The 24,000-nt window shown below is 37.7% G+C and overlaps 1 protein-coding gene across 1 annotated transcript in view; it reads right to left on the reverse strand.

The window, feature by feature from the left end:
* The window catches only part of IMPG2 (interphotoreceptor matrix proteoglycan 2), a 98,030-nt gene that overhangs the window by 61,700 nt on the left and 12,330 nt on the right, over positions 1-24,000 (reverse strand). Inside the window, exons 3-4 of the mRNA NM_016247.4 lie at positions 19,901-20,067; positions 7,234-7,265 (exon numbers count right to left, since the gene is read on the reverse strand). Of these exons, the coding sequence (NP_057331.2) occupies positions 7,234-7,265; positions 19,901-20,067 (199 nt within the window). The remainder of the gene's footprint in view (positions 1-7,233; positions 7,266-19,900; positions 20,068-24,000) is intronic.

A 24,000-nucleotide genomic window follows, 5' to 3' on the forward strand; every position in this document is an offset into this window, starting at 1 on the left:
GTCTACTTGACATTCACATAGAGATGTCATCATAAATGAGTTGTCTTCCATCTTCTCAGTTTATAGATAAAAAACATTGCATCAGATTGTTTGAGTCATTTATCCAAAATCAAAGTAGCCAGGTAGAGGCAAAAAGAAAAAGTCTCTTGATGCCCAGTCCAGTGCTCTTCTTAGTAAACCTTCCCAGAGAGTAGAGAACTTTCCAGTAAAAGAGACTCATTGTTTTAATGAATCCAATGAATCAATATTTTTATTGGTAAACAAATTCTAATATTCAATTCAAGAAACTAAATCAAGATTTATTTATCAATATGAACAACAAAAAAAAACAAAATCATTTGAATGGCAAAAGGAGAATGCATAAATATCCTTAGTAGGTATTAAACAAACAAATTCATGTATATTTAGGACAGACTCAAAATCTGTGCCTAGCAGTTTCTAAAAGAAGTAATATTCCTTGTCCTAGCTGTGCACACAGGATTTCAATGCACTTCCAATGCCATCTGCTTACTGTAGTTACCATCATCTCCTGCAGCACAAGTTTGAGAGGGCCAGAGTCAGAGTAGGCTTAATATTTGTCTCTATGTCTGAGATATTTCATAATTTAACCTTTTTTTTAAAGAAACAAAACTGTAAAAAAAATAGAACCATTACTGAATTCTTGCTTTCTAATAAACCACAACCATCAAATTAGTTAACTTTCCTTTTGCTGACATTGCTAGAATGTCCCAGAGACTGTTAACTAATTTGATAGCTCCATTTTTCTGTCACTTAACGACTGGAATTGTAAACAAGTCTCATTAAGTTTTGTGAACTCAGAGAATTTCATCCTGTAAAAATTTCATAGGGTAATTGTGACAATTAAATGTAAAAAATCTTGTTAAAATGTAAAGCTCTATATGTCTATAAATGCAGATGTGTAAGGGATGATGGTAGGGTTGGAGATATGTCATCTCATAAGAGGTCAGGGAGTAACACCACTATCCATTCCTCTACTGGTCCATCTTTGCCCCAAGAGTACTGCCAGTGTGCACCAAAAGGATAATGCTGCGCTAGGCCACATCCCTGACAGAAAGACACACAGGGATCAGTACATTCTGCCCCTACTCTCACTGAATGTGCTACAGACACAGAAAGACATAGACTTCCTGCTCTTCTAGGAATCCTATTCTTGATCATTTGATGTTTTCCTAAAGCCTGAGAAACAGGTATTTTTATTTAAAGTGAAACAACCAAGATTTAGCACAAGTTGTTGATAAGAGAAACACTAAAATTTCAATATCTCTCCTGTCTACAGCTCTGTCTCTCTCATATACTGCCTTATTGCATGGACTCACAGCCAGGCCACATGGTACGTATTCAATATGCTGACAACTGATGGTTTGAGAAACATTATCATGGAGAAGTCTGTCTAATATAAAGTAGTTACTTTCTAAATCTTTCTTCATTTGAAGTTAGTGCCTTTGAATTTCAGCAGATATGATTTTGAAATTGGTACAAATATCTACAGAAAAGTTCATTATATCATTTTTAATTTTAAATTTTTATAAATTTTGGTAGATTTACGGGGTACAAGTGCCATTTTGTAACATGGATACATGGTGTAGTGATGAAGTCTGGGCTTTTAGTATGTAAATTATAGAAACCATTTAAATACTTCTTTTCATTCTTCATGTTTGTCTTTCTCATTCACACACATATATGTACAACAAAGAAAACTGATTTTTTAATCTCTGAATGATGTAAAATATCCTAATAATTTAAATACATATGCATTATAGCATAGGGGTTGAATACTGGCTTTGTGACCTTGGACAAGTCCCTTAAATTCTCTACGCCATAATTTCCTTCTCTTTAAGAGAAGGATAATATTAATACCTACCTCATTATATTGTTCAGAGGATTAAGTAAATTAATACAAGTAATAAAGTACCTAGAACAATGTCTGGCCTATAACTAATACATTAGTATTAGCTAATATTTTTAATTTTATTAAAATGACTCTAATTAGGTGATTATTGAGTATGGTTATTCTAAAACATTTAAAAGGGCAAATATCATTGTCCATTCTTGTGAGTAAGAAGCTTTTTACAATATTCTAAGTAACTGCTGATATGTTAGTATTTTTAGTTATTAGGCCCAGATTTACAGTGAAATGGCATGCTTCAATATCCAATCTAGAAAAATAAATTATGGTCTACCTCTTATAGTGGTCTACCATGAAGTCTACCAGCCTAATTCTATGACAAGATAATGAAGAAAAAGTCTCATCTCTCTTCCCCTTGGCATCTTTATGATGTTTTAACATTCAAGTGCATATCAGTACTTTGAATGCTTGGAAATTATACTGCCTCAACATTTGTAGATATATGTACTCACACTATATATGCCTCGCATTACCAGTCTAGCTTCCGATGGCATGTGCTGCATTATAGGCTAGTTCTCATGATGGAAAACCTTCTCTTCACATGAGCAGAATCATTCTACCTTCTCTGTAAAAATTCCTCTTGGGAGTTGGGATGGTGAAGGAGAGAATGAAGGTGTTTGTTTCCAGCTGATGCACAGAAAGATGGGACAGTTTGAATCAGCAGGCAGGAGAACCCAAGGAAATGAATGAGATGATCAATTTGGGGCAGCTCCAGAGAAAACCCATTATGCTTTAGCCAATTAACAGACTTTCATTCATTTCCCCTCCTTCTCTAATCACCTCCTAGTAGTTGTGAATGAGGTGCACTGTGATCAGGTATTTATTAGTTGATACATTATGCAAGAAATAAATCTCTTAGCAGGAAAAAAGCACAGATCTAAATTTTTCCTCTTTGAATGATGAAATCCAGTAAGGTCTGAAGTTAGGTTTTCAGGAATATTGTGTTACTGTCAGGGTATAGTAACACAGAATCTATTGGAACAAAATGTACTTAGCTTGTAACCATGATTAATTAATATGGAAACATAGCCTTTGCAAAATTTACAGTGTGGCAACCTTGGCCACACCCAAAGCTGAATCAATCAAAAGAGTCTCATGCTCATGGATTGGAAGAATCAATGTCATTAAAATGACCATACTGCCCAAAGCAATTTACAGATTCAATGCTATTCCTATCATACTAGCAATGTCATTCTTCACAGAATTAGAAAAAGCTACTTTAAAATTCATGTGGAACCAAAAAAGAGCCTGAATAGCCAAAGTATCCTAAGCAAAAAGAACAAAGCCAGAGGCATCACACTATCCAACTTCCAACCACACTATAAGGCTACAGTAACCAAAACAGAATGGTACTGGTACAAAAACAGACAAATAGACCAATGGAACAGGATAGAAAACTCAGAAATAAAGCTTCACATCTACAACCAACTGATCTTCAACAAGTCTGACAAAAATGAACAATGGGGAAAGGACTTCCCATTCAATAAATGCTGCTGGGATAACTGGCTAGCCATATGTAGAATAAAAAAAACTGGAACCCTACCTTTTATCATATACCAAAATTAACTAAAAATTGATTAAATATTTAAATGTAAGACCTCAAACTATAAAAATTCTAGAAGAAAACTTAGAAAATATCTTTTTCAACATTGGCCTTGGCAAAGAATTTATGGCCAAGCCCCCAAAAGCAATTGCAACAAAAACAAAAATTGACAAGTGGGACTTCATTAAACTAAAGAGCTTTTGCACAGCAAAATAAACTATCAACATACTAAACAGACAACCTACAGAATGGGAGAAAATATTCACAAACTAGGCATCTGACAAAGGTCTAATATCAAGAATCTATAGGGAATTTAAACAATTCAACCAGCAAAAAGCAAATAACCCCATTAAAAAGTAGGCAAAGGAAAAGACACTTCTCAAAAGAAGACATACATGAGGTCAATATATGAAAAAATGCTCAGCATCAGTAACACTCAGGGAAATGCAAATCAAAACTACAATGAAATACCATCTCACACCAGTCAGAATGGCTACTAAAAAGTGAGAAAATAACAGATGTTGATGAGGTTGCAGAGAAAAAGAAATGCTTATATACTATTAGTAGGAATGTAAATTAGTTCAGCCACTGTGAAAGCAGTTTGGAGATTTCTCAAAGAACTTAAAACAGAGCTACCATTCAAACCAGCAATCCCATATCATTATATCAAAAAGCCACATGCACTCATATGTTCATCATTAGCTATTCATAACAGCAAAAACATGGAATCAATCGAGGTGCCCATCAATGGTGGATTGGATGAAGAAAATATGGTACATATACACCATGGAATACTATGCAGCGATGAAAAAGAATGAACTCATGTCCTTTGCAGCAACTTGGATGGAATTGGAGGCCATAATCCTAAGTGAATTAATGTAGGAACAGAAAGCCAAATACTGCATGTTCTCACTTATAAGTGAGAGGTAAACATTGAGCATATATGGATATAAACATAGGAACAATAGACACTGTGGACTACTAGAAGGCGGGTAGGTGTGGGTTGAAAAACTACATATTGGGTACTATGCTCACTACCTGGGTCCAATATACCCATGTAACAATCCTACACATGTATCCTTAATATCTAAAATAACAGCTAAATTTTTTAAGTCATCCTTTCGAATTGATTTCTCTTCCCTCTCTCTATGTATGGGTGTGTGTGCACATATGCTACACTACGAACACAAGTATGTTTTGATATTGGTCTGATTGGTTAAACAAAGTCAACCAAAGCAATATAAACTGTACATATTAAGATTATACTACATACACGCTTGGTGCTAGTTAATGTAGAGCTTACAACAAATCCTAAAACACAGTTCATTTCCTCAAGAATGTTACCTATTAGGGTTACAAAAATGAGTAAGATACTTTTTTTATTCATTCATCAGGATCCTACAGAAACCTGCTAAAGGCTACATGGTAGGTTTTTCAAGAAGAGTCAGGCTTTAGGTATTTTGTGCAATTACTGATTTTATTCATATTTTGGATTCCTGTAAGGGTATTACTAACTTAGGTTTTTGGTTGTTGTTATTGTAATAATTAAGTGAGGTGACATATTTTACACAGTAAAAGGCAGTATTAATAGAGGTTAAAAATCAGATGCTTAAGAATCAAATGACCTGGATTACCTTGAGTTATTTAAACTCTAATACTGCTTCTTCATCTATCAAATAAAGATAGTAAAAGTACATAATTCAGAGGGCTAAACTCAGAGGATTAAATAAATTAATACATGTAAAATATCTAGTATACTGTAAGCAATCAATAAATGTTAAAATGCTATTACATGTTTGATAATGTTAGTCAGGCAACAAATATGGAAATATAATGGCTCAAGGGTACTCTAAAAAACTATGGCTGAACCATAGAGTTTGAGAAGGAAACTGAGACAGATGAGGCTGGGCACAGGCCTAACTGTGAAGAGCCTTGCGGGTCATGTTAATTTTGATCTTAAAAGCAATGAGGAACTATTAAATTGTCTTACAGAGGAGAGGCACATGATCAAATTTATTCTTTTGAAGATTTCTGGCCAGGGTGGAGAGGAGGGCTCAGAGGGAAGTAGAGAGACCTCTTGGCAAGCCTTTGTACCAGCAAATAAGTGTTGATTATATGAATTAGTATAGGGACTGTGGGGTCAGAGAGAAATGGATGGAATCAAGAGATAATTAGAAAATAGGAGAAGAGAAGGAAGGGAGAAAGAAAGAGAAAAGAATATGGGCAACTAGATGGATGATAATGCCATTCATTCACTGATGAGAGGAACGTAGAAAGAAACAGATTTGTGACGAAATGATTGATATAGCTTCGGGCACGATGAACTTAGAGAGAGCTTAGAGAAGTTAATCGAGCCAATAGACTGTGAAAGTTGGATGAGGTGACCTCTAAGGTTCCTTCTAGTTCTATCAGTACAACTATAGATTTACAGATCCACTGTCTGTTGCAATGGCAATCACAAGGAATCTCTGAGCTCTGCCTCTCTGTGGTGAAGAAACCACACCCGGCCAGGCATAGTGGCTCACACCTGCAATCAATCCCAACACTTTGGGAGGCTGAGGCGGGCCAATTGCTTGAGCCCAGGAGATCAAAACTAGCCTGGACAACATAGCAAAACCCTGTTTCTACAGAAAAATACAAAAAAGTTAGCTGGGCATGATGGTGTGTGCCTGTAGTCCCAACTACTTGGGAGGCAGAAGTGGAGGATCACTTAAGCCTGGGAGCACGAGGCTGCAGTGAGGTGTGATCATGCCACTGCACTCCAGCCTGGGCGACAGAGCAAGACCCTGTCTCTAAATAAATAAATGTAAAAAATAAAACAGAGTAAACCACACCCAAGAGACCACTTGGCCCATATTTAAGTAAATGCTCAATCCCACACCCTGGTATAGACTCAGTGCCATTGGCTGTTTGAATAAGACCACACAGAGTCCCACTTCTTTCCTATTCATTTGTGTTTGATTTGAAACCTGGATATACCCCACTACCACCCACATATATATTCCATTTATGGTTTTGCCCTGACTCTGATGCCCAGGTTGGATCTCTGTACACTGACTCACCTACTTGGTTTTTTCAATCTGTCCTTCCCTCTAATTTGAGGCAAAATTCTGAACTATGACCTGGATTGCATGCTCTAGTGGTACCTTCCTATATAACTACCCACATGCTGTTATAATTTAGATGCTCCGAGGATGAATAGAATTGGAAAGCTTTAGCCCCTGTAGGCTCAAAATCCCTTACCTTCTGTCATCTTCTTTGTACTAATACTTCCCAGAAGCCAGAAACGACCTTAGCTCTAAGCCCACAGTGAACAGAGTCAAGAATCATAATAGGTTATGCTATTCCTATGTTTCAAGAACATAATCATCAATAGTCAATAAATTGATCCATAGCACCACCCATCATTTAATAAACTATTCTCCACTGTGGTGTACAATTTCATAACAATTTCATCATTAGCCTTTAAACCTCAACAATAGGTCACTCCATATAAACCATAAATCTGTTTTCTTATCTAAGAGAGGAGCAAGTTTGCCTCATAATAAGTTCAGACAGCAAATGCGCACAGTGGCTGTGGTCATGGTCTGAAAAGAAAGGTGGCTTGGGAATGAGGAAAAATATTTGGGACTTATCCACAGGCCTGGTCATTGCGAACTGGCAAGAAAATAGAAAGGCACCATTAAATTTGGGGTGAGTCTTGAATTAGGCTATGACACATCTGTGTTGCCAAACATGAATTTTGGGAAAAAGAGACACTCACCTGCTTACAGTTTCCTTTGCATAAGTCAGTTTCTAAGGAAAACAAAGATATAAAAATGACTGAGTTAACAACAGTTATTAAGGAGTAAATAAAACTTATTTCATAGAGACCACTACTGCCCTACCATGGTAGAATCTATGTTAGTACTCTCTATGGTTAGACAAGTGATTAAAACAGGTAATAATGATACCAAGTTTGTTTTGTGACTATAGCAACACCCTGACATTCAGTCTCTGCTTATATGCACAGAAGTTCCTATGTTCTTTCTTAATGGGCTCAAATAACAGGCTTGATCTGCCAATCATCTTATGAACATATAAAAGTTACAGACTTGCAGAGTTTTACATAAACCTGCCATGGATTTAGAATCAAATAATTTTTTATCTAATGTATTTATAGTAATTCTCATCCTAGAACAATGTAAACATGTGGATAAAACAATTGATGTTTGTTTCTACAGAATTCAGACAAAAAAGACATATCATATCAATAATTGGATTATTCCCCAGGGGCATTCTAAAGCAAATTTCCTGCAAGTTTCCCCTAAATTAGGATTGTTATTTTGAGATCAATATGATAGAAGGAATAGTGACTTGGAATCAGGAGACCCAGTTTCAAGTTCCAGTTTCCCCTCCTTAGCTATACAGGAAAATCCCAAAATCTCTCTGGTGCCAGGCCTCAATTTCCTCATCAGTAAAACAAAGAGACTGTTATTCTAAATACCTCTCATTGCATTTAGAAATGACTCACTGCTCTTCTTGCTCTACAGACTCTCCCAGAATAATCTCAGCCACTCTCATGGTTTCAGTTACAGGCATACCTCTGATATATTACAGGTTTGGTTCCAGACCAAATAAAAGCTCAATAAAGCAAATATCCCAATAAAGCAAGTCACATATTTTTTGGTTTCCTAGTGTATATAAAAGTTATGCTTACATTATACTGTAGTCTATTAAAAGTGCAATAACATTACATCTAAAAAAGGTATATACCTTAATTTTAAAATACTTTATTGCTAAAAAATGCAAACAATCCTCTGAGCTTTCAGCAAGTCATCATCTTTCTGCTTCTGGAGGGTCTTGCCTCCAAGTTGATGGCTGCTGACTAATCAGAATGATGGCTGCTGATGATTGAGGTAACTGTGGCAATTTCATAAAAATAAGACAACAATGAATTTGGCCCCATCAATTGATTTTTTCTTTCACGAAAGAGTTCCCTGTGATATGTAATGCAGTTGATAACATTTTATCTAAAAGTCCTCTTAAAATTGGAGTCAATCTTCTCAAATCCTGTCACTTCTTTATCAACTGAGTTTATCTAATAGTCTAAATCCTTTATTGTCATTTCAATACTGTTCACAGCATCTTTACCAGAAGTAGATTCCATCTGAAGGAACAACTTTCTTTGCTCATTCATAAGAAGAAATTTCTCATTCATTCAAGTATTATTATGAAATTGTAGCAATTTAGCCTCATCTTCAGGCTGTACTTCTACGTCTAGTTCTCTTGCTATTTCCACCACATCTGCAGTTACTTCCTCTACTGAAGTCTTGAACCCCTCGAAGTCATCCATGAGAGTCGGAATCAACGTCTTCCAAATCCCTATTAATGTTGGTATTTTGATCTCACCTATTGAGTCATGAATGTTGTCAGTGCCATCTAGATGGTAAATCCTTTCCTGAAGATTTTCAGTTCACTTTGCCTAGATCCATCAAAGAAATCACTATCTACGGCAGCTGTATGAAAAGTATTTCTAAAATCACAACACTGAAAAGTTGAAATTACTCCTTACTCCATGGGCTGCAGAATAAATATTGTATTGGCAGGCATGAAAACAACATTAATCTCCTTGTACATCCCCATCAGAGCTCTTGGGTGGCTATGAGCATTGCCCATAAGCAGTGATACTTGGAAAAAAAAAATTTTCTGAGCAGTAGGTTTCAAAGGTGGGCTTAAAAGATTCAGTAAACCATACTGTAAACAGATGTGGTGCCATCAGACTTTTTTGTTCCATTTATAGAGCATAAGTAGAGTAGATTTAGCAAATTTCTTAAGGGCCCTAGGATTTTTGGCATGGTAAATAAGTATTGCCTTCTAATTTAAGTCACTAGCTGCATTATCCCATAACAAGAAATTCAGTCTGTCCTTCATTGAAGCCAGGTATTGACTTCTCTCTAGCTATTGAAGTTCTAGATGGCATCTTTGTCCAATAGAAGGCTGCTTCATCCACATTAAAAGTCTGTTGTTCCATGTAGCCACCTTCATAAATTATCTTAGCTAGATCTTCTAGACAACTTGCTACAGCTTCTGCATCAGCACTTGCTTATGTTATAAAGATAGCTTCTATTCTTAACTACATAAACCAACCTCTGCTATCTTCCAACTATTCTTCTGAAGCTTCCTCGCCTCTCTCAGCCTTCATAGAATTGAAAAGAGTGAAGCCTTGCTCTGGATCTGGCTTTGGTTAAGGGAATGTTATGGCTGGTTTGATCTTCCACTCCGACCACTAAAACTTTCTCCATATCAGCAAGAAGGCTGTTTTGCTTACTTATCACTAATATGCTCACTGGAATAGCACTTTAAATTTATTTTTATTTATTTATTTATTTACTTTTACTTTAAGTTCTGGGATACAAGTGTAGAATGTGTAGGTTTGTTACGTAGGTATACATGTGCCATGGTGGTTTGCTGCACCTATCAACCCATCATCTAGGTTTCAAGCCCCGCATGCATTAGCTGTTTGTCCTAATGCTCTCCCTCCCCTTGGCCCCCACCCCCCGACTAGCCCTGGTTTATGTTGTTCCCCTTCCTTTTTCCATGTGTTCTCACTGTTCAACTCCCACTTATCAATGAGAACATGCAGTGTTTGGTTTTCTGTTCCTGGGTTAGTATGCTGAGGATGATGGCTTCCAGCTTCATCCATGTCTCTGCAAAGGACATGCTCTCATTCCTTTTTATGGCTGCATAGTATTCCATGGTGTATACGCACCACGTTTTCTTTATCCAGTCTCTCATTGATGGGCATTTGGATTGGTTCCATGTCTTTGCTATTGTAAATAGTGGTGCAATAAACATACATGTGCATGTGTCTTTATAGCAGAATGATTTATATTCATTTGGGTATATACCCAATAATGGGATTGCTGGGTCAAATGGTTTTTCTGGTTCTAGACCCTTGAGGAATCACCACACTGTGTTCCACAATACTTGAACTAATTTTCATTCCCACCAGCAGTGTAAAAGCATTCCTATTTCTCAACAGCCTCGCCAGAATCAATTGTTTCTCGACTTCTTAATAATTGCCATTCTGACTGGTGTGAGATGGTATGTCATTTTGGTTTTGATTTGCTTTTCTCAAATGACCAGTATTGATGAGCTTTTTTTCATATGTTTGTTGGCTGCATAAATGTCTTCTTTTCAGAAATGCTGTTATATCCTATGCCCACTTTTTGATGGGGTTTTTTTCTTGTAAATTTAAGTTCCTTGTAGATTCTAGATATTAGACCTTTGTCAGATGGGTAGATTGCAAAATTTTCTCCCATTCTGTAGGTTGCCTGTACACTCTAATGAGAGTTTCTTTTGCTGTGTGGAAGTTTTTTAGTTTAATTAGATCTCATTTGTCAATTTTGGCTTTTGCTGCTATTGCTTTTAGCATTTTCGTCATGAAGTCTTTGCCCATGCCTACGTCCTGAATGGTATTGCCTAGGTTTTCTTCTAGGGTTTTTATGATTTTGGGTTTTACATTTAAGTCTTTAATCTATCTTGAGTTAATTTTTGTATAAGGTGTAAGGAAGGGGTCCAATTTCAGTTTTCTGCATATGGCTAACCAGTTTGCCTAGCACCATTTATTAAATAGGGAATTCTTTCCCCAGCTTGTTTTTGTCAGGTTTGTCAAAGATCAGATGGTTGTAGATGTGTGGTGTTATCTCTGAGGTCTCTGTTCTGTTCCATTGGTCTATATGTCTGTTTTGGCACCAGTACCGTGCTGTTTTGGTTACTGTAGCCTTGTAGTCTAGTTTGAAGTCAGGTAGCATGATGCTTCCAGCTTTGTTGTTTTTGCTTAAGATTGTCTTAGCTATACGGGCCCTTTTTAAGTAGTTTTTTCTAATTCTGTGAAGAATGTCAATGGTAGTTTGATGGGAAGAGCATTGAGTCTATAAATTACTGTGGGCAGTATGGCCATTTTCATGATATTGTTTCTTCCTATTCATGAGGATGGAATGTTTTTTCATTTGTTTGTGTCCTCTCTTATTTCCTTGAACAGTGAGTGGTTTGTAGTTCTCCTTGAAGAGGTTCTTCACATACCTTGTTAGCTGTATTCCTAGGTATTTTATTCTTTTTGTAGCAATTGTGAATGGGAGTTCATTCATGATTTGGCTCTCCACTTGTCTATAATTGGTGTATAGGAATGCTTGTGTATTTTGCACATTGATTTTGTATCCTGAGACTGCTGAAGTTGCTTATCAGCTTAAGGAGTTCTGGGGCTGAGACAATGGGGTTTTCTAAACATAGAACCATGTTGTCTGCAATCAGAGTCAATTTGACTTCCTCTCTTCCTACTTGAATACCATTTATTTCTTTCTCTTGCCTGATTGCCCTGGCCAGAAATTCCAATACTATGTTGAATAGGAAGAGTGAAAGAAGGCATCCTTGTCTTGTGCCGGTTTTCAAAGGGAATGTTTCCAGCTTTTGCCCATTCAGTATGATATTGGGTGTGGGTTTTTGTCATAAATAGCTCTTATTATTTTGAGATATAGTCCATCAATACCTAGTTTGTTGAGAGTTTTTAGCAGGAAGGGCCGTTGAATTTTGTCGAAGGCCTTTTCTGCATCTATTGAGATGATCATGTGGTTTTTGTCATTGGTTCTGTTTATGTGATGGATTACGTTTATTGATTTGCCTATGTTAAAGCAGCCTTGAATCCCAGGGATGAAGCCAGTTTGATCGTGCTAGATAAGCTTTTTGATGTACTGCTGGATTGGGTTTGCCAGTATTTTATTGAGGATTTTTGCATCAATGTTCATCAGGGATATTGGCCTAAAGTTTTCTTTTTTTGTTGCGTCTCTTCCAGGTTTTGGTAGTAGGATGATGCTGGCCTCATATAATGGGTTAGGGAGGAGTCCTTCCTTTTCAATTGTTTGCAATAGTTTCAGAAGGAATGGTACCAGCTCCTCTTTGTATCTCTGGTAGAATTCGGCTGTGAATCCATCTGGTCCCAGGATTTTTTTTTTGGTTGGTAGACTATTAATTACTGCCTCAATTTCAGAACCTGTTATTGGTCTATTCAGGGATTCTGAATCCATTCAGGACTTCTTCCTGATTTAGTCTTGGGAGGGTGTATGTGTCCAGGAATTTATCCGTGTCTTCTAGATTTTCTAGTTTATTTGCATAGAGGTGTTTACAGTATTCTCTGACGGCAGTTTTTGTTGTTGTTGTTGTTGTTGAGACAGAGTCTCACTCTGTGGCCCAGGCTGGAGTGCAGTGGCGTGATCTCGGCTCACTGCAAGCTCTGCCTCCCAGGTTCACGCCACTCTCCTGCCTCAGCCTCCCGAGTAGCTGGGACTACAGGCGCCAGGCGCCAGCCACCACGCCTGGCTAATTTTTTGTATTTTAGTAGAGACAGGGTTTCACCATGTTAGCCGGGATGGTCTCGATCTCCTGACCTCATGATCCGCCCACCTCAGCCTCCCAAAGTGCTGGGATTACAGGCGTGAGCCACCACGCCCGGCCGGCAGTTTTTAATTCTGTGGGATCAGTGGTGATGTCCCCTTTATCATTATTTATTGTGTCTATTTGAGTCTTCTCTCTTTTCTTCTTTATTAGGATAGCTAGCAGTCAATCTATTTTGTAAATTTTTTCAGAAAACCAGCTCCTGGATTAATTGATTTTTTTTTTTGGAGGATTTTTTGTGTCTCTGTCTCCTTGAATTCTGCTCTGATCTTAGTTGTTTCTTGTGTTCTGCTAGCTTTTGATTAGCTTCCACTTGCCTCTCTGGCTCTTTAATTGCGATGTTAGCATGTCAATTTTAGATCTTTCCTGCTTTCTCTTGTGGGCATTTAGTGCTATAAATTTCCCTCTTAACACTGCTTTAGCTGTGTCCCAGAGATTCTGGTATGTTGTATCTTTGTTCTCATTGGTTTCAAATAACTTCTTGATTTCTGCCTTAATTTCATTATTTACCCAGGAGTCATTCAGGAGCAGGTTGTTCAATTTCCATGTAACCATGTGGTTTTGAGTGAGTTTCTTAAGCCTCAGTTCTAATAGGATTACACTGTGGTCTGTGAGACTATTTGTTATGATTTCAGTTCTTTCACATTTGTTGAGGAGTGTTTTACTTCCAGTTACGTGATCAATTTTAGAACAAGTGCCATGTGGCACTAAGAAGAATGTGTATTCTGTTGATTTGGGGTAGAGAGTTCTGTAGATAACTATTAGGTCCACTTGATCCTGAGCTGAGTTCAAGTTCTGAATATCCTTGTTAATTTTCTGTCTTGTTGATCTGTCTAATATGACAGTGGAGTGTTAAAGTCTCTCACTATTATTGTGTGGGAATCTAAGTCTCTTTGTAGGCATCCAAGAACTTGTTTTATGAATCTGAGTGCTTCTATATTGGGTGCATATATATTTAGGATAGTTAGCTCTTCTTTTTGAATTGGTCCCTTTACTATTATGTAATGCCCTTCTTTGTCTTTTTTTATCTTTGTTGGTTTAAAGTCTGTTTTGTCAGAGACTAGGATTGCAACCCCTGCTTTTTTTTTTCTTTCCATTTGCTTGGTAAATTTTCCATCCCTTTATTTTGAGCCTATGTGTGTCTTTGCATGTCAGATGGGTCTCCTGAATACAGGACACCAGTGAGTCTTGACTCTTTATCCAATTTGCCTGTCTGTGTCTTTTAATTAGGGCATTTAGCCCATTTACACTAAAGGTTAATATTGTTATGTGTGAATTTGATTATGTCATCATGATGCTAGTTGGTTATTTTTGCACACTAGTTGATGCAGTTTCTTCATAGTGTCATTGGTCTTTATATTTTGGTGTGTTTCTGCAGTGGCTGGTACCAGTTTTTCCTTTCCATATTCAGTGCTTCCTTCAGGAGCTCTTGCAAGGCAGGCCTGATGGTGATGAAATCTCTCAGTATTTGCTTGTCTGGAAAGGATTTTATTTCTCCTTCACTTATGAAGCTTAGTCTGGCTGAACATGAAATTCTGGGTTGAAAATTCTTTTATTTAAGAATGTTGAATATTGGCCCCCACTCTCTTCTGGCTTGTAGGGTTTCTGCTGAGAAGTCCACTGTTATTCTGATGTTCCTCCCCTCTGTTGGCAACCCTGCCTTTGTCTCTGGCTGCCTCTAACGTTTTTTTCTTCATTTCAACCTTAGAGAATCTGATGATTATGTGTCTTGGGGTTGATCTTCTCATGCAGTATCTTAGAGTGTTCTCTGTATTTCCTGAATTTGCATGTTGGCCTGTCTTGCTAGGTTGGGGAAGTTCTCCTGGATAATATCCTGAAGTATGTTTTACAACTTGGTTCCTTTCTCCTTGTCTTTTTCAGGTACTCCACTCATCATAGGTTTGGTTTTTTTTACATAGTCCCATATTTCTCAGAGGTTCCATTTGTTCCTTTTCATTCTTTTTTTCTAATCTTGCCTGCATGCCTTATTTCAGCAAAATAGTCTTCAAACTCTAATATCCACTTGGTCGATTCAGCTACTGATTCTTGTGTATTTTTCATGAAGTTCTCATGCTGTGTTTTTGAGCTCCATCAGGTCATTTACATTCCTCTCTCAACTTGTTATTCTAGTTAGCAGCTCCTGTAACCTTTTATCAAGGTTCTTAGCTTGTTTGTATTGGGTTAGAAAATGCTCCTTTAGCTCAGCTGTGTTTGTTATTACCCACCTTCTGAAGCCTACTTCTGTCAATTCATCCATCTTATCCTCCATCCAGTTCTTCACCCTTGCTAGAGAGGCACTGCAATCATTTGGAGGAGAAGAGGCACTCTGGCCTTTTGGGTTTTCAACCTTTTTTTGTTGATTCTTTCTCATCTTTCTAAGTTTGTCTAGTATCAATCCTTGAGGATGCTGACCCTTGGATTGAGTTTTTGTAGGGAATTTTTTTGTTGTTGATGCTGTTGTTGTTGTTTTCTGTTTGTTTGTTTTTCTTGCAATGGTCAGGTCCCTCTTCTGTAGGGCTGCTGCAGTTTGCTAGGGGTTCACTGTTCAGGCCCTACTCATCTGGTTCATTCCCATGCCTGGAGATGTCACTCGAGGAGGCTGGAGAACAGCAAAGATGGGTGCCTGCTCCTTCCTCTGTGATCTCTGACCTCAAGGGGCACCAACCTGATGCCAGTAGAAATGCTACTGTATAGGGTGTCTGACAACCCCTGTTGGAGGGTCTCACCCAGTTGGGTGACACAGGGAACAGGACACACTTAACAAAGCACTTTGCCCCTTGGTGGAGGGGGTGTGCTTCACTGTGGGGAAACCCACTCATCTGGGTTGCCTAGATTCCTCAGCACTACCAGGAGGGAAGACTAAATCTACCCGTCCGCAGAGACTGTGGCCACCCCTCCCTCTAGAGGCTCAAGCCCAGGAAGATTAGAGTCTGTCCCTAAGTCCCTGGATGGAGTTGTTGGAGTTCCTGCAAGGAGGCCCCACCCAGTGAGCAGGGACATGTCAAGGTCCGGCCTGAAGAGGCGCTCTGTCCGCAGTCTGCCACAGCTAGTGTGTTGGACTGTGGGGTATACCTCTTGGGAGCAAGCCGTCCAGCCTCCCTGGCTCCAGCAGGGGAAAGACATGGCCTGGAGCTATAGAGATGGCTGCCACCCTTCCCCCACCCTGGGAGCTTAGTGTGTTAGGCAGCTATCAGTCCCAGTGTTGGCTGTAGCCCCTCCTGCAAAGGAGTTCAAAGGGCTTAGACAGCAGGCAGCCACAGCGGTGGTGCTGGTTGCCCCTCCCGCGGGGAGCTCCGCAGGCTTAAGCAGATTCTAGCTTAGTGGCTGTTGAAAATCTGCTTGGTTCTGTGGTTGGGACCCTAGGCCCCGGAGGTATGGGCTCCCAAGTGAGATCTTCTGATCTGTGGGTTGCACAGTTCCGTGGAAAAAGCACGTTTTCCCAGGCTGGGTAGCAGGCTCACTCACTGCCTCCCTTGGCTGGGGGCTGCGGCACCACACTGCTCTTCCTTCCTCTCCGTGGGTCACGCCAGTTGCCTAGTCAGTTCTGATGACAAAACCTGGATACCTTGGCTGCCAGTGCAGGATTCACATGCTGTTATGGTTCTTTTAGATGGAGCCACAGATTGCCACTGCTTCTAGTTGGCCATCTTGGCCCCGCCCCCCACTTTTAATTTCTTTCAAGAACTTTTCCTTTGCGTTCACAACTTAGCTAACTATTTGGTGCAAGAGACCTAGCTTAAGGCCTATCTCAGTTTTTGACATACTTTCCTCACTATACTTAATCATTTCTAACTTTTGATTTAAAGTGAGAGACATGCTATTCTTCTTTTCACTTGAACACTTAGAAGCCATTGTCGGGTTATTAACTGGCCTAATCTCAATATTGCTGTAACTCAGGGAATAGGGAGGCCTGAGGAGACGGCTTGAGGCCTGAGAGACCAAGGAAAAGTCAGTCGGTGGAGTTGTTGAAACACAAACAACATTTATCAATTAAGCTTGTTGTCTTACATGGATATTGTTCATGGCACTCCACAACAATTACAATAGTTATTGTAATTGTAATAATCAAAGATCACTGATCACAGATCACATAAGAGATAAAGAAAATAATTTTTTAAAATTTCGAATATTTTGAGAATTACCAAAATGTGAGACAGAGACACAAAGTGAGCACATGCTGTTGGAAGAATGGTACTAACAGACTTGCTTGACACAGGGTTGTCATAAACCTTTGATTTGTAAAAAATGCAGTATCTGTGAAGCACAATAAAGGGCAGCACAATAAAATAAAGTATGCCCGCACTAAGTCCAAAATGGTGATTCCTATAGCAACATTGGCATCCCAGACCCCTATCCTTGGCTTCATACCCAAATAGCAAACAATTCACATTTCACACAGGTGGTTCAAATGAATACATCAAAAGTGAACTCATTCTCCCTGCCACATCTACAAAGCTGCTTCTTTGCCCTCGTTATTGGTCTTAGTTACCCAAGCCAGAAACTGGAAGGCTTCTTGGGCCATTCCTTCACCCTGTCTCGACCCATCAGTGTCCTACTAATTTTGTTCCTATTTACATCTCTCAAGTTTCCTTTGTCTATCTCATGGTCTGGTTGGTATCTTTATCCTCTTTGGCCTGGAGTACTGATGCAACACCCTACCTTGTCTCTCTGTTCCAGTTTTATCTCCTATAATCCATCCTATGCTATGTAGAAACCGTAACGACCTTTTTAAAATTCAAAACTGCCAAATCAGCTCCTGCAACTTACCTACCTACAACCCTTCAATGGTTTCCTGCGATCTACAGAGTTAAATCCAAGCTTGTTCAGTTATCCATTGTTTTAGTCTGATCTCCTGTCATTCCTAGTCTACCTCTTTGGTATATTGACCGAGGTCATTCCCTACAAACACTTGGCTCGTGCTGTCCTTTCTGCCTAGAATGTTTATCCCCAGCTCTTCTTCATTTAAGTAACTTGTACTTATCATTTACAACTCTATCTAGGCAACACATCATTCCCTTCATCTGCTTTTTCTATTAAATAATTATTGGAAGTATATTTTCTATGCCTTCAAATATAAATTTACTAAAAGTTCCACTTGTAAGAGATACATTCCAAGGTAACATCAGAAGATTCTGTTCTTCTGGTAATACTAACCCATCATATATATTTGCCACACTAATGGCTGATCCTATATTGCGGACATAATTAAGATAGGCAATGCAATTAGAAATATAAGTATGTATATGTGTGTGTATGTCTATATATTTTCCATTAAATAGCTATCCCATGTTAGCCACTGCAATTTGTAAAATTGGTAATGATTGAGAAAGGAGGCCCAATGGTGTGAAGGGAAAAGACATCAATTTTGGAAAAGAGAACTGGGTTTGGATTTAAGCTCCATCATATCTGGTTTTATGTTATAGAATAAAGAATTTAATAATTATATGTCCATATCTGTAAAATGGGGACATTACCACCTCCTTATAAGGTTGCTGTTATAACATCTAATAATTTATTGATGAGCTTGATACATGACATGGTACATGGTAGATACTGAATAAATAGTAGCTATCAACATAGTTATTAATACTGAGCAGTTAAAAATGTGGCAGGCAAAAAACACATGCAATACGTTTCATTAAAATGTGAGGTGCCATGATTAAAAGTTGCGTTCATTTTAAAACACACAAAACCCTGCACAGCTTCAAAACATTTATACCCTCGCAAAATTTGTCTTTGGTCCACCCACGTTTATCAAACCATCCTTCTCTCCCCAACGTCCCCCATTTAATAAGATCATTCCTCTCTTGGACTAAATGTTAAAAGAATATAATTCTTCTACTATAAATAAAATTTAAAAATAGAATAGGATAATATATTTTATTACCTTTACGATATACTAATCTGATTTGATTATACACAAAATAGCTCAGTGTTATTCAGTCAATAATTATTTCCTCAGTCTCTGTAAGGTATGTAATACTTAGAACCAGTACTTAAAATAATCTTCATAAAGTTTATAAATTGTACCAAGTAAAAAAATACAATGTGGTTATTGCTCATATACTCATTTAAACAAACATCTATTGCATATTTACTACCTTATGGGAATGCAAAAATGAACAAACAATGACATAATCCTTGCCTTTTGACTCATAGTCTAGAAGAGGAATTAGTCACATATACAAGCAATCATCATAAAATATAAACAGTACAGTATTAAAAATGAATAAAGAATTGTGGGAGCTCGAAGAATAATGGTAGCTAAATCTTCTAGGCTGAGGTTTGGTTCCTTGCAAGGGAAGTTACATATGAGGACACAGAGGAACTGAATAGATGGACAGGGAGATATACGGAATAACAAACAGCATGAACAATTTGCCACGTACGTCTGGACAGTTTCACTTTCTTGTCATGAATACATATGTGCTACACGAAAAGGGAAAAGTGGCAGGTAATTTGTCTTTATGCATGTTTATTTATCCTTTGCTAAGAGTAAAACAATGTCTAAAACAAGGAAAACAAGTGAGCACACTCATTATTAGAATCATACCTATGCCTCACTAAACATTTATTCAAATGAACTATGTCCTCTATCTTAATTAGAGTTATTGCTATTCACTCTGAGTTGATAACATGTAAAACTTTGGCAAAAATGTTTGACTCTCACGGATTTATATTCTTAACCTAAACCTTTGCTGAATATTATTTCCAAATATTTACATCTATAAACAAGGCTGAGGCTCTTGTCTGAGTTAATAATGTCTTCTTTTTCTTTTTGTGGACAGAATAACATGAAAATATTAATAATGTATATTATAGAGGCCAGAGCTAGGAATAAAAGACTAGGCCACACCCTAGGGCAGCTTACTCAGATAGCCCAATTCAACAAAAGAGTAATACAGGCATTTGCCACTTGCTTTTGCTTCCTTTAGGCCTTAGCTGTGTAAATGCTCCTACAATAGTCCAGGAATCCCTTCCTTTGTTGTGACACTTACCTTCATGATTAAGCTTCTATGTTCCACAGATTCACTAAAATTTGTGCCCATTTCAAATATACTTGTGACTCCATCCTCACACAAATTCATCCAGTAATGATATTCCTCACGCCCAGGAAGTCGATCCCAAAAAGTCCTGAAGGCTTCCCAGACAGCTTCCTGACACACTAGAAAATAGAGAGGTGTTTTTTTACAAAAAGCTAACATGCTCTGGGGTTCTTACAATGATCATAGACTGATTCGTACAGATTCCTTGAGACACTGAAGTGTCCTTTCTGGAGGGATGTAGGAATGATTCTCAGTCAAAGGCCTTCTGTATGTATGTCCAGTTTAAACTTTTCATTTCTGAAGAGAATTTATATTTCCCATTCCTTTCTCTTACAAAGAGAATTGATTCATCTCTTCATGAGCTGGAGTGTCTCTCCCATCTCTTAAAAAAGTCCATGTTTATACTTCACAAAAGTGGAGCTGATATTGAGTATACTGTATTTAATCCAATGTTTTCCTAATGGACACTGTGATTTTCAGTTTCCTTAATGTTTGCAGATGTTCTCCTGAAATCATAACTTCAAAAATCAGCTTCTTTGCTTTTCATGATCACTGGGGAAGGAGACACTGACGTTTATAAATGGCCTGGAGCTTTTTGGCTAAATGCAGTGACATAACTGCATTGCATCTACTTGCTCAAAAAGTCATCACATATTTCTGATAAAAAAAAAAAACAGGAGTATTCAAACTTTTCCTCAAAGCTTACAGGAAGCAGAAAGTACTACATAAAATCAAGTAGAAGATATCCACCTGAAATTATCACTCTCAAACTACTATATTTCATATCTGAGAACAGAAAATAATAATCTTTTTTATACATAAAAATTTATGTTCACACAAAAACCTGCATACGGGTATTTAAAGTCGCTTTATTCATAATTGCCAAAACTTGGGGGTGATGAAGATGTCCTTCAATAGGTGAAAGGATGAACAAACTGTGATATATCTAAAATATTATTCAATGATAAACAGAAATGAACTTTCAAGCCATAAAAGACATGGAGAAAACTTTAATGCACATTGCTAAGTAGAGGAAGCCAATCTGAAATGACTGCATACTGGTGATTCCAATATCATTCTGGAAAAGGCAAAACTATGGAGACAGTAAAAAGATCAGTGGTTTCCAGGGGTTGAGGGAGACAGGGATGAATAGGAGGAGCATAGCAGATTTTTAGGGCAGTGAGAGTACTCCATATGATACTATAATGGAGGATACATGTCGTTATACATTTGTCAAAACCCATAGAATGTACAACACAAAAAGTGAACCCTAATGTTAACTATGAACTTCAGTTAAGAATAATGTGTCAATATTGGCACATAAATTGTAACACATATGCCACAATATTATAAAATGTTAATAACAGGGAAAAGTGGTGGGGGAGTTGAGGGAATACATGGTAACTCTCTAAACACACTGCTCAATTTTTCTGTAAACCTAAAACTGCTCTAAGAAATATAGCCTATTAATTTAAGAAAAAAAAATATATATACACACATACATACATACACATGAACTTTAAAATGATATTCAGGAGAAATATATTGCTGTATTATAATAAAAACTAATCAATTTATTTGCTAAGTTATTCCAAAGCATCAAATCTGAAAGGCTGCTAAATAGTATCTCTGTGCTTTTTGTATAGTACTGAATGTACTGCTGTTCTGTAACCATTTCAGAGGCGCAGGACACTGTAGGTAACAGATACATCAGGATGGAAGGGAAAAGGAAGAGAGTGGTAAGAGAGAAAGTTAGATTTAACAGAGATTAAAAAAACTATTTTTCATAGCAAGAAGATTGAACACACATCAGGCAGGATCCACATTGAGGTGGAGCCTCTGGACTCCCACAGTCAGAAGATCTAAGTTCCCGCTCTAGCTTTCCAGTATACTAGTTTGATACCATGGGTAACTTACCTAACTATTCAAAGCTTCAATTGACTCATCTCTCTTTTTAACAGGATAAATAATTACTGCCTTATTATCTTATCTGTGAAAGTATTTTACAAATTGCAAAGTGCTACATGAATATCATATGTTATTATCGTGTTCAATTCTAATTGTCCAATAGTTATTTGGTAGAAGAAGATAGTCTAAGCCAAAAAAATTCTTAAGCTTTAACAGATTATGAAATGTATGAGTATTGAAAGTTTCTCTATCAATTGGGTTTTAGGGCTAAACCAAACCTTTCATTACAAACTTAATTTGTCTTTTAGTGAACTACCTGTATCCTTATTATTGTTATTAAGAACTTCTGACCATACAGCATACAGCGGGCACTGACTGAGGCAGAGCTGAACTATTTGTAGATCATTGTTTTTCATTTCTTCTTCTTAAAACTTCGAAATGAAAATTAAAGTAAATTCCAAAAGACAATGCAAAGGTGAAAAGTCTGGGTCAGTAAAAACTAACAAAAAGTGAATGTCTATAATGTCTGGTAATGAAATGAAGTGATTCAGAGAAAGTATAAAACAATGTTTGAAAAAAATAACTATCTACCCATAGGGAAAGAAAAAATAAATCTCAATGCCTTCTTCATACTATACACAAAAAATGATTTGAAATATTAGGGCTAATACTATGAAGTTTCTAAAATAAAACATAGAAGAATATCTACATCACTTGAGGATAGACAAAGATTTTATAGGCAGTACACAGAAAGCAACAATTATGAAAGAAAAAAACAATAAATTAGAATTCATCAAAACTAAAAAGTGTCTGATTATCAAAAGATACTGTTAATAAAAATGAGTAGGCAAACCACATATCTGGCAGAAAATATTCCAAATACATATATCTGCCAAAGAACTGGTATTTAGGGCACTGAAATAATTCCTACAACTCCCTAACAAAAAAACAAACAACCTAATTTTTACAATAGGTAAAAGGCTGGAATATATACTTCACAAAGGAAGAGATAAAAATAGCCAATGAGTATGTGAAAAACTGTTCACCATCATTCATTTTTCAGAGAAATTCAAATTAAAGTATCCACACACAAACCAAGAATGACTGAAATTTTTACATGGACAACACCAAAATTTGGCAAAAATGCAGAGCAACCAAAAGCCTCATTTTTGGTAGGAATGTATAATAGTATAACCACTTTGAAATAAATGTTAATTGTTTCTTATATAACAAAATATACACCAATCCTATTGTATTAGTCCATTCTCATGCTGCTATGAAGAAATGCCCAAGACTGGGTACTTTATAAAGGAAAGAGATTTAACTGACTCACAGTTCCACATGGGTGGGGAGGCCTCAGGAAACTTACAATCATGGTGGAAGGGAAGCAAACACATCCTTCTTCACATGGCAACAGGAGAAAGAAATGTTGAGTGAAGTGGGGGAAAGCCCCTTAAAAAGCTATCAGATCATGTGAGAACTTGCTCATTATCATGAAAACAGCATGGGGGAACAACTCCCATAATCTAATCATCTCCCACAGGGTCCTGCCTCCAACACATAAGGATTACAATTCGGATTAAAATTCAAGATGAGATTTTGGGTGGGGATACAGGCAAACTGTATCATTCTGCCCCGGCCCCTCCCAAATCTCATGTCCTCACATTTCAAAACACAACCATGCCTTTCCAACAGTCTCCCAAAGTCTTAACTCATTCCAGCATTAACCAAAAGTCCAAGTCCAAAGTCTCATCTGAGACAAGGCAAGTCCCTTCCACCTATGAGCCTGTAAAATCAAAAGCAAGTTAGTTCCTTCCTAGATACAACGGAGGTACAGACTTTGGGTAAATACACCTGTTGCAAATGGGAGAAATTGGCCAAAATTGGCCAAAATTAAGTGAAATCTTAAAGCTCCAAAATGATCTCTTCTGACTCCATGTCTCACATCCATGTCACACTGATGTAAGAGGTGGACTCCCACAGTCTTGGGCAGCTCCACTGCTGTGGCTTTGCAGGGTACAGCCCGCCTCCCAGCTGCCTTCACAGTGTGGCATTGAGTGTCTCTGGCTTTTTCAGGTGCATGGTGCAAGTTGTTGGTTGATCCACCATTCTGGGGTCTGGAGGACAGTGACCCTCTTCTCATA

The sequence above is a fragment of the Homo sapiens genome, chromosome 3, assembly GCF_000001405.40.
Source record: "Homo sapiens chromosome 3, GRCh38.p14 Primary Assembly".
Classification (NCBI taxonomy): domain Eukaryota; kingdom Metazoa; phylum Chordata; class Mammalia; order Primates; family Hominidae; genus Homo; species Homo sapiens.